The sequence below is a fragment of the Homo sapiens genome, chromosome 7 (genome assembly GCF_000001405.40).
Source record: "Homo sapiens chromosome 7, GRCh38.p14 Primary Assembly".
NCBI classification, from domain to species: Eukaryota; Metazoa; Chordata; class Mammalia; order Primates; family Hominidae; genus Homo; species Homo sapiens.
The window spans coordinates 22,128,966-22,143,633 of NC_000007.14; the positions used below are offsets into that span (position 1 = coordinate 22,128,966).

Sequence of the window (14,668 nt, forward strand, 5' to 3'; positions counted from 1 at the left end):
TATCATTTAGACCTCCTTCATTTCCAGCCCTATGGTTAGTTGGCAGTCTTGGCATATTTGAGAGCTGGCGTTAAGAGGCTTCTGCTGGATTACTGGAGAGAGCAGGGGAGGGCCACAGATGCTGGTCAGAAGGAAGGTGGGAACAAGCTTTCCACAGCTTGTTCCCATTTGTGACTTTATGGACTTGTTCAGGTTTTTTTTTTATTATCTTGTCACTTTGGTGGCACTATCTGAGGGGGAAATGACATAATGAACTTAACAAATTCACTGGTTCACTTTAGGGAGGTCAACCTCACGTCTGCCCTCAACAACAGGCAACAGCCAGCTGATAAAGAGTTTAGTTGTTCTCCCACGGCCCCTTGGACTAGTCAGGGGAAAGGATTACTAGGCCTTTCCAGGGAATTCCACTTGGCGTGACACACCTCATCCCACATCTTCACAGATGCTCCACAAATCTCATGTGTTGTTCTTAGGGAGATGTGTTGGCCAGGAAGCGAAGTAAATATTGACCAAAGGCTTCATATTCCCGCAATTGTTTCATTAATCCCAAACGACAGGGATTAACCTGCTTAGAGGCAAGAATTCTAGTGCCTGCAGCCTTTCATTAAGTGCCCTGTGATCTTCAGAATATCACACAGCAACACAAAACACGTACAAAAAAATAACACTTTATCCATTTCTGGCTCTGTTGGTTTGACTGTAGCATCTAAAATAACTGAGCTCTGATTCCAAAACACTTACTGCAGAGACAAACTTGAAAATGTATTGACAGAGCCACTTAGAAAAGCACTAGCCGTGAAGTGATGGTCTTCGGTGTGGTTAAAATGGAGATAAAGCAAGATATTCCAAGACTGTATTCTATATTCCAGATGCTTGGGTTTTGGGGGTTGTATAAGGGTTGTATAAGAGCCAACTACACTGTTCCCAAGCTGCTTCACCCTACATGTGGGGAGTTGGCTGGGTAAGCAGAGCAATGTACTTCTGAGGCAAAGGTCAGGTGCCAAGCCTCAGCAGGACTCATCAGTTCCTACCGTTCTTTGATCATGGTCTGTGGTCCCTGCCTCACTTAACCTCCTCTCAAGTGCCTGACTCAGTCTCACAGGGAACCAGGGTCAGTTTCTGCAAGAGTTCACACAAATCCATCACCATTACTGAAAAGGTCACTCAAAGGTCAGGATCTGTGGAGCAGGGTTACTGGTATCGTCTTTAACCATGAAGGACAGTTTACTCTATGACACTAAAGTTCATCTGTCAGATAAATCCATTCCTCTTGCAGGCAAGTGGGTCTCTTTGGAGTACTTCTATTTTACAGTTGCTCAGTTCTTATGGGTAACCCCTCCTTTGCTCAAGGGCAAGTCAGAAAGGCTTGGAGGGGCCCACTGTATTACAAAGCACCTGGGAATGCCCTGGAAATCATTCAGGAAGCAGTGGTTCAGAAACATTTAGAGAGGATTGCCCTGGGAACCTCTTGCTTGTAAGGAGGGAGGGTACTTTGCCTGAGCCGCTCTGGCCGTGGTGCTCAGGGATGGCACCCTTTGTCCATAGGCTGATAAAGGAGTGGCCCTTCCCTTCACACAAGACCCTGCAAATTCCAGCCTCACATTTAAGCTTGGAGTCCTGAGAGACAAACATATATCCCCAGGAGAGGAACTTTTTCCCTCTGTGCCTTGAAAGCATGCAGGCTGAGACACTGAGAGATGCCTATAAAGCAGTAAAACATAATCTCCTGAGTGTGGATTCCTCCTGACAGCAGCCTTACAGTTTTAGCTCTGGTTCAATAATATACCCTCAGTTCTTCATCTTATCATATTCCATTTTTAAAAACAAAACGCAGATTTTCATATTTGGTTCACAAAAACCTTGCTAACATACTTGTTGTTAATTGGAATACATTTTGTTGGCAGCGTACAACATGCAGCAAATAAGCTCCTTGAATGAAGCAAATAAGCTCCTTGAATTCGCCATGCATCCAATGGAGAAAAGTACTAAAACTATTTATTTCCTAGAGCAGGAAAGAAAGGCATACATTTCTGTTACTGTAAAAAAGGGAGAAGTAATGAAATTTACGTACCAGCTTTTCAAAATTGACAAGATTATCCAAAAAAGTTTTATTTCCTTCATGAATAAATGTTACATCTGAAAATTAAAAACAAAAAGATGTATGTATCATTAGGAATGGATCATGAGTCAGGGCTGAAGAGGTCTAGGTACAATGCAACTTATTCATTTTTCCTAAACATTATGGATCATTCCATGCACTTGGAGAGGCAATTTGAAATTGGATTTATGTGTTATTTGATGTAAAAGTGCATAATTTATGTGTGTGTGTATATGTGTGTGTGTAAAAACAGTGTGACCTTACTGAAAGTATATATTTTGCACTCATAATGAAATGTTTGACTTCAATCTGCTTAATATAAACTAAAGCTAGTCTATAACTTAATTATTCCATTATGTGTTTAAGTCAGAAGACTGAGCAGAAAAGGACTGAATACCCAGAAACAACAGGATTTTAGTAAGTATGTGTTTGCTTTTTACAAATCCCTGGCAAAGTGTATGGGACTTGCTTTACTTAAAACAACTAGTTAAGATATAGATTTAGATGTTTAAATTTAAATTTTTGGTTCCCAAAGTTGATGTCTGATTGTGTACCAGGAATAAGTGAGGAAAGAGGCAGGCTTGAAAAAGTCAAGATGTCTGGCCCCATTCGACTAGTAGAAAGCAAGCATCACTGATGAAAATAAAAGGAGGAAAGTACAATGAAAGTGCATTTTCAGAGGAAGATAAAGTTAAATTTGGTTTGAGGCTCACTGCATTTAAATGAGTGAGGATATTCATTAAATATCTCCTGTTGGCTGCAGTAAACAAAAGAGTGCCTCCTCAAGACATATAGATTTGGAAATTAGTTACATTAAATAAAGGTAGCAACTGAAGCTCTGAGAGTGGATGACTTAGCCATAATCGGATCAGAGGGTGGATGACAGCATCAGGGAATCCTCGCAGACAAGTATCACAAAAATAAATATACTATAATTTAAAGCATGTGCAAATAATCATGTTATATTACATATATGGAGAACCAACCAAATAAAAACAGCCTTTAAAAATCTTGTAAAAATAACCTGATAGAAAAGAGGGGAAAAGAATGTCTTAAAAACTCCTATAAATAGAAAAAGAATGTATTTGCTTTTAATCAAGATTTTTATTCTGCTGGTCCCTATGGGGTAATTATGAGATAGGTGGTCCTAAAACTTGCCACCAAAACTCTGGGCCACAAAGCTTTTACTGTCACCAGGAGGTGACAATAGTTACACAGTTACAGCACACACTGATGCAACCCTTTCCTCAAGGCGTTATACACAGCTTCCAATGTGGACTGAAATGTTTTCATAAGCTTCTTTTCCTTTCCTCTCTTTTTTTTTTTTTGCTTGTAAACTGATGTCCTAGTAGGAAAACGATTCACAACTAATTACACAGTCTCCTGACAAACTCTCTGGTTATTTTATTATCTTTTGAAATTTTGCTTGCAGAAAATAATTACAAGCTTTCATTCCGTGACACGGTATTCAGAAAAGAGAAGTCAACACAGGTTTTACCTTTTCTGTGTAGCAAATGCAAACCTGTGCACACTCTGTCTACATTAAATACCACCTGAAGGTCTGGCCTCTACTAACTCTCCAAGAATTCCAGATTCCACACAGCTTCTCAGAGTGGCTTAGTCCATTTCCCCTGCATTACAGGTTTATCCCTCACCTGCCCCTCACCCCTCTTCCTAGGGATGATGAGGAGGGCAGTGGCAATAATGACATCTTACATTTATTAACAGTGTTAGACATGGCTCTAAAGAGCTTTAGCTGCATTAACTCATAAGGTAAATTCTAGGAGGTAAGGCTATGAAGAAACTAAGGCCCCAAGGACGTCTATGGCTAACCCATGCTCACAGCTATATGTGTCAGAGCCAGGATTCAAACAAAGGGAGGCTGGCTCCCCCTCACCACTGCGCCTCTCCAGGCACCTCAAGTGGAAAGGACTTGGCTTTTCTTGCTATCAGGTGCAGTCAACCTGCTCAATTTATAACACATGAGCTGCCCCTGCAACACTGAAAGTGCTTCCCTCCTCACTCCCTTCAGGCAGTCCCTCCTGCCGGCAATCTCTCCTCTTCCTAGGTAGTCCCTCTCACTCTTAGCTCTCAGTAGAGTGTGTGGCGGCTCTATTGAGGGGCCAGGGCCTGTCAGGCTGGTACTGTCTAAGCATAAGGCAGGGAAGGTGTCAAGGGTGCTGGCCAGGTGAGAGGGGAGACAGGCTGGAAGGTGCTGCAGTCCGGGAGAAAGGGAAGAGTTCAACTGGCTACAGGTTTCGATGCAGTTGAATGGCAGGTGCATGACACGGAAGGTATGAGAGAGAAACAAATGAGAGGTTGGGCTGAAAAAAACGAAGATGTCAGAATTTAAGTCATGGGACAAGAAGCAGTTTTGGGGTATGAGAAATGAGCAACTGCCAGGCCTCTTTCACCTGGAGACACCTGAACACACCCCAAACATCTCCTGAAATAGAACTGCTCAATGAAATGACTTTGAAGAGATGGCAAGTGGAAGAGGAGGAAGAAACATCCAAGAGTCCCAACATTCCTTCCCTTCAGAGACCCGCACAAATCTGCAACAATAAACTCCACTCTAAGACACATATATGAAACCCACCACAGGAACCCCAGTTTATCCTCAAACAACTAGATGATTCACTCCATCTCCAAAAATAGCACATGAACTACGACTCCTTAGATCCTTAGCTCAGCTGGGTCTTCTCCCCAGCACTTAGTGTTTCCCATTCGTCCCTTTCTGACCAAGATTCCACACCACAGTAAGGGGAAAGTACATCAAAAGGCAAGAAATTCAAATAAGAAAGAGGAAGATTGAGGGCTGGAAGGATCCTCAGGTAATCCACTTAATTGATAATCTGCAGGCTTATTGGGAACTGACTTTCAAAAAATGCAATATGGGGGGCCTAATCCTTCTTAAACACCAAGGAGTTCAATTTGGTCCCATTTTTCTAATTAAAAGCTACTCAAAGTGGGAGGCACAAGAGAGGGGGAGACAAAGAGCTTTCATTAAAAACTAAGTTGGTTGTTCTAAAATAGTTCATTGAAACTTTAAATTATGTGATTAAAAAAGCCTAAGAATTAATGTTGTATATTTTTGCCAAAATGTCTCATCTTAGGCATAATATACATGTTTTATATTTTCATCACATTTTCCTTGGAAATTATTTCAGACAAAAACAGTAACTTTAAGTACAATGAAGTACTAATACTATATGATTTTATCATGACAAAAAATTAAGACAAAGGAAAACTAAGTGCTTATTTAAATTCAAGGAAGCTTCTAATAAGAAAATAACAAATGTTTATTTCTTATTCTTTTGAAATGAGTAAATGTGTTTTCAGTAAAAAAAGGGAAATTTGTCTTGCTGCCAACAGAGGTCTCGATAAACTCAGCAGAGCAGAAAATTGCATCCGAGCTAAAATGTGTGAGACACTTGACTGCATTAAATATTTTGGGGGGGAAACCACTAATATATGGCAGAAGGCTCTGTTCATATCTAATTAAGTTAAAGAAATATTGTCAACTAATTTCTCATTACCTTAAAGTATGTGTTGTTTCAAAATTTTTTCTTCCTGCAATCAATTCCTTTCCTACATCAGTCCTACTTTCTATTGTCTTTATTTGTGTCTAAATGATCCCAAGTGTTACTTCCCACCTGCCACCTCCCACCCTCTAATTGAAGATATTTTATTCCACAAATAAAAAGCACAGACCTTCTCTTAAAAGCAAATAAATATGAAGAGTCAAATAAACTTTTAAATTATTATTTGGGCACCACAGTGTCTCTTTATTTCACGCATTTGTATTTAACAGAATATTTTCGGCTTGGATGACGCATCTGTGCATATCTATCTCCATTGTCCTAATATTATATTCCTGTTTCACAGAGATTCTTGCTTCATATTTGATGAAGGAAGACTCAGTGAGTAGCTGCACGATGTACGGCAACTCACAATAATTTTCCAAGCTCTGGCTGTTCTTGAGAGAAGCTGAAGAGAAAATGCCAGCTTTATTGGGTAGACGAGGGGCGTGGTGGCAATGGGAGGAAGTGGGGAATGAGGATGGCCAGGCCAACCAGCAATCCAGTTCCCACACAGCTCATTTCTAGAATCATGTGTATGGGTCCAGCCACTGGGGCCTGGCTTAGCAGAAGTTACAAGCCTCTGAAGAAAAGAGGCTGGATGAAAGAGTATTCCTACTAAACCTCTTGAAGGAATCAAAATACGGCCAAGGATAATGCCCAAACCCCCTTTCCCTGGAAGCATACAGGTAAAGATTTACACTGAATGTCAGCGGTATACACCAGATTAAAAAGAGTTTCCTTTTATTAATCCCCTTGGTTTGAAAGAGAGATCACTGAAATCTCATCAATAAATTTAACTAACATGTTTCATGATGAATTATTTGGTGCTTAGTGGGGAGTGGTCAGTGGAGTAACTTGCAGCTATCAAATATTTTCCCAACTCAATTCCACTCCTGAAGAAAGGAAGTACACTTCTCCATCAACACTTTTCGAAAGCTATATTACTTGTATTGACCAAAGGTACTTCTCATACAACAGCAAATTGTGGGCTGCGTCTCTTAAGTTTAGGTTGCAAAAATAGAACATGATTGATCACCATTTGGGTTCTTTATGCCAGCCTTATTCTTGGTTGAATTCGGTGGATTGTTGGCTCAAAGAAAGTAATACAGGGCTTAGAAGTAGAGTAAAAGAAAAACACAAATGTTTCCAGTGCCAAGTTTTGTGAGTCAAGTGAAAATGCTTTGGTGTCTGCTCAAACACAATTACGTATTCTAGGTATCTCAAAAATAATCGGCTATTTGAAAAACAATCACAAGGCAACACAATTAGGTCTGAATGTCAAAATAACTGTAAAGAGACAAAATGAGAGTCCCTTTTTTGCCCTCAATAGTTACAGTAATAAATTTCTGAAATATGAAATTACATGGCATAAAAGATAGAAAATCATTACCTTTAAGCAATAAGGGCATGAAAGGGATTTTTGGTGGCTTCATCTTTTTGAATGCATCTCTGTAGGCTTTGTGATTTAGGGAAGGATCCTGCCGAACCAAGCAGATTACAAAGAGAAAGAAAAATCAATGTGCTATAGAAACAATTCTAAATCCACCTTTGCTACACAATTTGAACATAACTTAGATATAGAGAGATTCCTCCTAAGAACAAAGTAGATAAAGGTTTCCTAGGAGAATAAACTCACTAAATTAGGGCAGGAAATCTAGGCAATGAATGAAATTCAAGTTATTGGTTTACAATAAAGGGAAATGACCGCAAATGAGAGACATCTTTTGATTGTCCTATTATTTTCCTCAAAGAGGTCCTTTAAGTACAGTTTCCTCTGCATAATTTATATCATGAATTAACCCAAAGTCTCTTGTTAGATACACCACCAAGAAAAGCTGTCCTTGTAACGCACAGAAAATGCAGAGAAAACAAGAGGATACTGTTTTTTTGTATTCTAAAAAGAAACTATAATTTTTAAAAATCTCAATCTAAGAAATTGTAAAAAGGAGAAAAGGGAAAAAGAAAATGCATGAGACACTAATTGCATGCTAAATTTATACTGATTAATTTTGCAGGCTTTGAAATGGACTATACTTAAAAGCCTGCCTTCTGAAAAAATCACACTAAAAGGATTATTTTCACTACGTTTTTAGAAGGAGAGGAAGAAGCATTAACTGTCAACTTGCTTCCCTCCATAAGAAGCAAAGCTACAGTTTCATATACAAGTAAACTAGTCTAGGCTACCTGACACGGTAGAGTACAAATACCACCCACTATAATGTAGAAAGAAACTAGACCCTAGCAATTATTTTGAAGAATAAGTCCCCTTTGGCTCAACTACTTACTGTTAAACTTTCAAGTTCAGAGAAAAGTTTCTTAAACTTCCCAGGGATTTTCTAAAAAACAAACACAAACAAAAAACAGAAGGTCACAGAAGTTGGTTATTTTCAGAGGCATCGAAGGGAGTTTTCATTACGTTGTTTATCTGTGTCACATTTCTGAACATAAATACCTCTATCATCTGTTCAATCCTGATTGCTTCTCATTATGCAATTTTCATCATCCCTTTAATGTGATCTTCCTTAGGAATGCTGCTTAAAACAGCTTAAAATAACAGCCACATGATTCAGGAATCTAGTTGGTTAGACATTCCACATACTGGTGGTCATTTAATAAAAACTTAGATTTCAGTTCCATACCCTACCTTTGACAAATGCTCTCATCTTCTTAATAGTCTTCCTGAGTGGGAAACAATTATGTTGGCTGACATTTTTAGCATAGATGATGAAATTTTATTTCACAGCATTGGGCTAAATAGTGAAGGGCCAGGAAGACCTTAAGTGACGAAGCCTGCACTTTAATGAGTGGAATCAATGAATTGAAGAGCTCAACCATAACAGGTACCATGCAAAGTGACAGGGGATGGAAACATAGGCCATCCTCCCAAATAAAAATTCAGGCCTAAGGAAGAAGGGCCTGGAATGTTCCAGCCTGCTTTTAACATGGCTAAGTAAAAAATTGGGTGCCTTTCAATATTGACTTAGTAATCTTTTGTGGTAAACAGCACATATTTAAAGGCAGCCTGAGTTTGAACTCTGACTCTGCCCTTTCTAGCTATGTGGTTTGGTGTGTCAGCAAGCTCTCGGATCTGTTTCTTCAGCTGAGGATGTAGAGACCACTCATGAAAAGTACACGGTCCTTGGCTGGTACTTAACAAATGCCAGCTATTAACACTAACAACAAAGTATAAGAAGATATTTCTGGGATTTTTTGTTTCTAAAAGGAATCAAAACAATGAGGCAACTCCTACAATAATTAGACTTTTACATTATTTAGAGATAGATTTTTTTCGATGTGGTAATTTTGAATATGGACTCAGTTTATCACAGCAAACAGGTAGTTTAATCTGTTTGGAAACTACACACACACACACACACACACACACACGCACGCACGCACACACACACCCCAACAAACAGAGGACCAATTAAATGAGAAGACACAAAATGGAGATATTTGCAACTGATTCCAATCTTTCTTTTAAGCTGCCTACCTTAGTCTGTGGGACATCCCTCACAAATGTCCCAGTGGCACCTCAAACCCAACATGTCCGAAGTCGAACTAAGTGATCTACTCCAGAGATCAGCCATGGAACAAATCTAGCCATGAGCTACTTTTAGGAGGTCAAGTTTTATTGGATTGCTGCCACGCCCCTTCATTCAGGCACGTACTACAGCTGCTCTTTCACTCCAATGGCAGAGTTGAGCAGCTGCAACAGAGACCATGTGGCCTGCACAACCTAAACATTTTTCCTCGCTGGCCCTTTACCAAAGCAGTTTGCTGACCTCTGATCTGTTTCTTTTCCTGTATTATCTATTTGGGAAGTGTGATCACTTTCCATTCATCCAGTCACCAGACCTGGAGATCCTGTGGTCACCTCTACCTGAGATGCCCATCCCCACACTCCAGTAACTCTCAGCTGGACCTCGAAGGCCCTGCAGCTTGAGGCTTCTCATTCGAGTTTTCTCAGCTACCCAGAGGCAGAATGAGTCCCTCCACTTGCTCTGCCCTGGTCCAAGACTTCTGTCATCACAGGCATGCTCAGTTCTCATGTAGCCATCTCCTGTCTGCTATGGCACTGATGCAGTGCTCTGCACATAGCAGGCAGTCAATGCGCAGATTAAACATAAGCTGGTTGAATCTAATTGAGTTATTTCTCCTCTCAATTTTTCCAAATCAGTTTCATTCAAGGTTTAATTCAAATTCGCTCCCCACTGACCCTTGCCAAGCCATTTGTTTTCCTCCTACTCTAATGAATCGTGGCATCTGTCACCCATGTCTTTCATCTTGCTTTGTGTGTGAAGGTCTTGTTTGCTTAAGCAGAGCAGGCGGGGCTTTCATTTCTTTTCTTTTGGGCCCCTTTAAGGAGGACTGACTCTGACCCTTGGGTCAGCACAGTGCATTCCTTCAGGGTATGACCCCTGACTGAAAGAAAGCGAATCCACAGGTTGCCCAGAGACCTATTCCGAGAAAAAGATAGCTGGCCTATCAGCTTTTCTCTTGTAGGAGTTTGAGTTGGGAACCATGAAGAGAATGGCACAGTCAGTGATAGGAACTAAATCTGAGAGGACTGTGAGGGAGGCTGAGGAGACCACAGTGAGCCACACGCAGGCTAGAGGCAGAGGCATGATGCTTAAAGAGCAATGATGAGGGGAGAAGTGGTACATAGGGAGGTAGCCAGTCAGGAAGGAAAGGAGAGCGAAGGAAACAAAAGCCCAAGGAAGGACGGTGAGGGGACCATGAGTGAGGCAGAGTCCTGCGCCTGTGTCTGGCTAAGTTTAGGGGTATCCCCAGTTTCAGGTCTTCCCACATGAATGTCGCAGTCCACACGTCAGACCTTGTGCGAACTTGAGTGGGCCTCTGCATCTCAGAACCCAAACAGCCTTCGGCGTGCAGAGCCAGGAAGTGGGAGGTCTGAAACTTTAGAACGTTTTGTGGATCCTCTTTAAGAAAAAGAATATTAAAATTACTTTGCTTTCGCAAATTTTACAAAAATATACATCATCCATGTGAACACATTGCCAGGGGCCCTGCAAGTGAGAGGCCTCGAAGCTTAAACTCATTAGCATCACAGCAAACGCACTTCTGAGCACGCATCATCATGCGGGGAGACTGTGGGGACCAGCCTGGAACGAGCACTGCACTATCAGGCAGGACAGAGGGGAAGACTAATTCTAGCTGGGGAGCACGTTACCATTTTTATCTAGTTCAGACACATTATACAACCGTTTAAAGACCATTTGATCAAAAAGATCCCTACCACCTTGACATATGACTTTCAAACATTTTTAGTTTAGTAGTACTTATCTCATTTAATCCATGTAAATTACTTTATTTCCATTTTATGTGCCCCTCACCATGGGACTCCAAGGCTCACCTCCCAGGTCTGCGACAGTCGACTGACAGAAGCAGTGTTGAGACCCATCACAATGGCAAAGAAAGAATTCAGGTTTCTCTGGGCTTTGCAGCTATAAAATAAAAGAGAGTAGAGGACACTTTGAGGAAACATTCTTTCCCCAGATAATCACAAAAGATAAAGCTGAAAAGACCCTCCTAGGCCACAGAGCTCAGGAATTCTGCTCTACAGCCTACGTACCCCTTACTGCCCTTCAGCTGTCTCTAATGCCAAAGAAATGATTCCAAACGCCTCAGCTCACTCTTACCTAAAGGAAAAGATCCGTGCTCTTGACACCCTCCTCATATTTCACAAGATTCCTCCTTTTTTACCTATGTTGTGTGCATTTACAATTTCAACTGAGCACTCTTTTAAATTCATGTTTCTTTATATACGCCCCACTCTCCTTTTAACAGTTCACTAGTCCTGACTCCTTCATCAAAACATGTTTTTTCATTTTTTGACAGACAAGCCCTTCTCACCCCACAGGTCTAAGCTCCCCCTCCCATTACATTTAGGCACATTTTCTTTGCTACCAACAAAATAGCTACTATAATATGTATATATTTTAAATACGGCATATATTAATGGGAATACTCTTCCACATTTCTCAGTTAAACAAGGAAATGAAATGCAAAATAAGATCATGTTGAGCTCCATTCACTTCTTGAGGCTATCCACTCTGCATAACATCAATCATGCCCAGAGACTTAACTGGTCAACATTCCACTAATTTCCAAAGCCAGCTAAGAGGGCTTGGAATGGCAGGGGGAGCTCGGGATTTCACGGCAGCCAGAATAGCTGTGAATTCCAGGCACTCCTTTATCTGGAGAGCATTAGAAAACAACCTCTCTGAGATAGGGCTTTAAAATAATAAAAAAAAATTACCCTCCCTTGATCGTTTACTATGTAAAAATATGAAGTACTTAGCAGTAAGCAGAGCGTGTATCAGGGGCCTTGTGATGTTTGTTTAGCTTCCCTCAGATGCCATCCCTTCTGACCTCTCCACCAATGTCTCACATGGAATCTGGGAATAGTGTAGATCTTGCCTGCTTCTTCAGTTAAATACCATGTTATATTATATACTATGGATTATTTACTATCATTAACAGCTATGTAATATTTTATCAAAAGAGCATATTACATAATTTATTCCTCTATTGTGGATGATTTTCAATTTTCCCAGTTACACAGAATGCTGGAATAAACTTTTTACTGTATTTGTGATTTTTTTCCCATTACATTGGACTTCCAGTCATTCCATGATTGGTCAAAAGCTGTGAAGACATTAAAGGTTCTCGATACATAATACAAACCGCTGTCTCCTAAAGCTATACTGATTCCCAGCTGCATACATAGTGTATGAGATGACCTAGTTCAGAATCAGGAGAATAAGCTGAGCTGTGGAGTAAGTAGGGAGACCCATAGCAGCTGTGCTCTGGCAGGCCCTGCCTACACTGGCATGCCCAGAGCCGGCCCCACAGGTTAGGTACTGCCTGAGTCCAGCTACACATGGCTCCAAGCAAGGAAGGCTCAGGCCTGGGGGCATTCTAGAAGTTCCATCCCCAGAACAGTGGAACCTAGAAAGGCCGTGTTGCCTCCACACCTCATGCCAAAGGTATCTGGGGTGGACACACATCTTGCAGGCACCTTGCTGCTGAGCCTCCACTGGGCATGGTCTGTCCCTCTCATGGTCCTCCTGTCCAGCTTTTGGCTCTGCCAGCAGTTCCTTGGTAATTGTGAGGCCCTGTACCTTCATCCAAGTGACCCCTTACGTGGTTTTTTGCCAACTTTCTCCTGGGTCGACCCCACTTGGTATATTCCATGAATAAACTCCAATAAGATACCTCCCAGTCTGTGACTGGGAAACCTACCTGCATTTGAGAATCACTGCCTTTCACATGGTGACTCCCCTTCATCCTGCTGTTCACTTGCCTCATTTTACTTTTTCTGACTCTTCACAACCCTGAACGTTCCCACCAGCTAGAACAGACTTGAGTTAGTGCCATCTCCTCCTGAGTTGATGTTTTGAAATACCAGCCTCCTCTGTAGAGGCTCTTGTGGTCAGTAAGAACTGTTCCATCCCCCTGCTGGAAGCTCCAGTTCGAAGTCTCTCTTACCCCTGGGTCCCTTCACCTTAGGATATGATGGAGGCCCCACTGCTTATGCAATCTCTGCTAGATAGTAGGTTCCTTAAGGCTAGAGTATACGTCTAATCATTTTTACATTCTGCCCATCACCCAGGTTCCTAGTACACAAGAAGCCTTTTAAACAGCATTTGCTGAAGTAGAAAACAAGAACTTCTGGGGAAATGATTTTATCATTATTCATTATAAAGATGTCTATTATTCTACGTTTTATTGAGCTTAATTTATCTATGTGAAATCTTAGAATTCCTATCTTTTTATCTTTTAGCTCCTCATGAACAATTTTCCTGGTCCATATAGCTTTCTTTTTTAGTCATATTTTAAGGAAAAAAACCCATAAAAACACACATATAACTAACATCTAAATCTGTTAAGAAAAAAAAGGAATTAATACAGACACACTTTCTGGAGAAGACAAATTGATACAGTGCAAATATTAGATGCCATTCCAGGCTGGAATCCTCTGTTAACGAGGGTCATTCATTCCACGATAAGAACAGACTGTCTGACACTAAACATTCCAGTTCAGCAAACACTCCTTTTGTCTTTGTGTGAGGAAATAAAATCCACTCAATCCACAGAGGTGGGGGATGGGGATGGTGAGAAGGAGGGGAAACATGAATATGCAAATAGGATGCCTCAGGCAGGAAAAACGCTTCATGATTGTGGAAATTACTATTTTCCCTTGGTTATTCCTACTAGCATGATTACAGGGAATTTAACTTTATGTTTCTGTTGGCATTCTATTCCATGGGTTAGGGATAGAGACCACTACCATAAAGCATTCAAGAGCATGGGGCCATATGGAGAAGATGTGAATATATTTCATTTCCCTGAGGATAGATATAATCTTATAGTGGGAACTGAGCTGGGTGGTATCATCTTACTCCTTGGAACATTAATTTCCCACTTATCCACATAATTAGCATTTATAAGAAAGCTTTTTACCCAAAAGAGCCTCACCTTTAGGAATTTTACAAGCCATTTTGGAACACAATGGCCAAATTTTTTTAAAAAAGCATTCACCATAAAAGTAATCAATAAGATTTAGGCAGATCTTGTTATCTATCCTTCCATGCCCAGTCACACCAAATACCAGGTCAGGAACCTCCATGGTCTCTTCTTGCCTAAGAAAAATTATCCTACTCTTGGGGTCTCTTTGCTACAGTTCAACGTGCTAGTTTCAGACCAACCTTCCTGAAGGATAACTCTGATCATGTCTCCTGCCCAAAAACTTTCAAAAAATCCCTTCTCCCTTCTCAATTCAGTTCAAACCCTTCAATCTGAAATTCAAGATCTTTTACAATTTGGTCCCATCTGTCTTTGCAGATCATTCTCCCACAACTTCCTTACAAATCCCCCTCCACTCTAAATCAGAACAGATTACTGTCTAACCACAGGCTCTGCTTCATTGTCTCCACTGAGTTGGCCTCCCACAGAGAGT

General features: G+C 40.9%; 1 protein-coding gene across 8 annotated transcripts in view; it reads right to left on the reverse strand.

The window, feature by feature from the left end:
* RAPGEF5 (Rap guanine nucleotide exchange factor 5) overlaps positions 1-14,668 on the reverse strand; it is a 238,919-nt gene that overhangs the window by 10,730 nt on the left and 213,521 nt on the right. For 7 of the 8 annotated variants that reach the window (NM_012294.5, XM_017012837.3, XM_047421084.1 and 4 more), the window contains 4 exons: positions 11,060-11,150; positions 7,968-8,018; positions 7,073-7,160; positions 2,072-2,136 (listed from right to left, as the gene is read on the reverse strand). In NM_012294.5, the coding sequence (NP_036426.4) occupies positions 2,072-2,136; positions 7,073-7,160; positions 7,968-8,018; positions 11,060-11,150 (295 nt within the window). Of the gene's footprint in view, positions 1-2,071; positions 2,137-5,852; positions 6,089-7,072; positions 7,161-7,967; positions 8,019-11,059; positions 11,151-14,668 lie in introns of those variants that run through there. The other variant, NM_001367601.1, reaches the window with a different exon arrangement.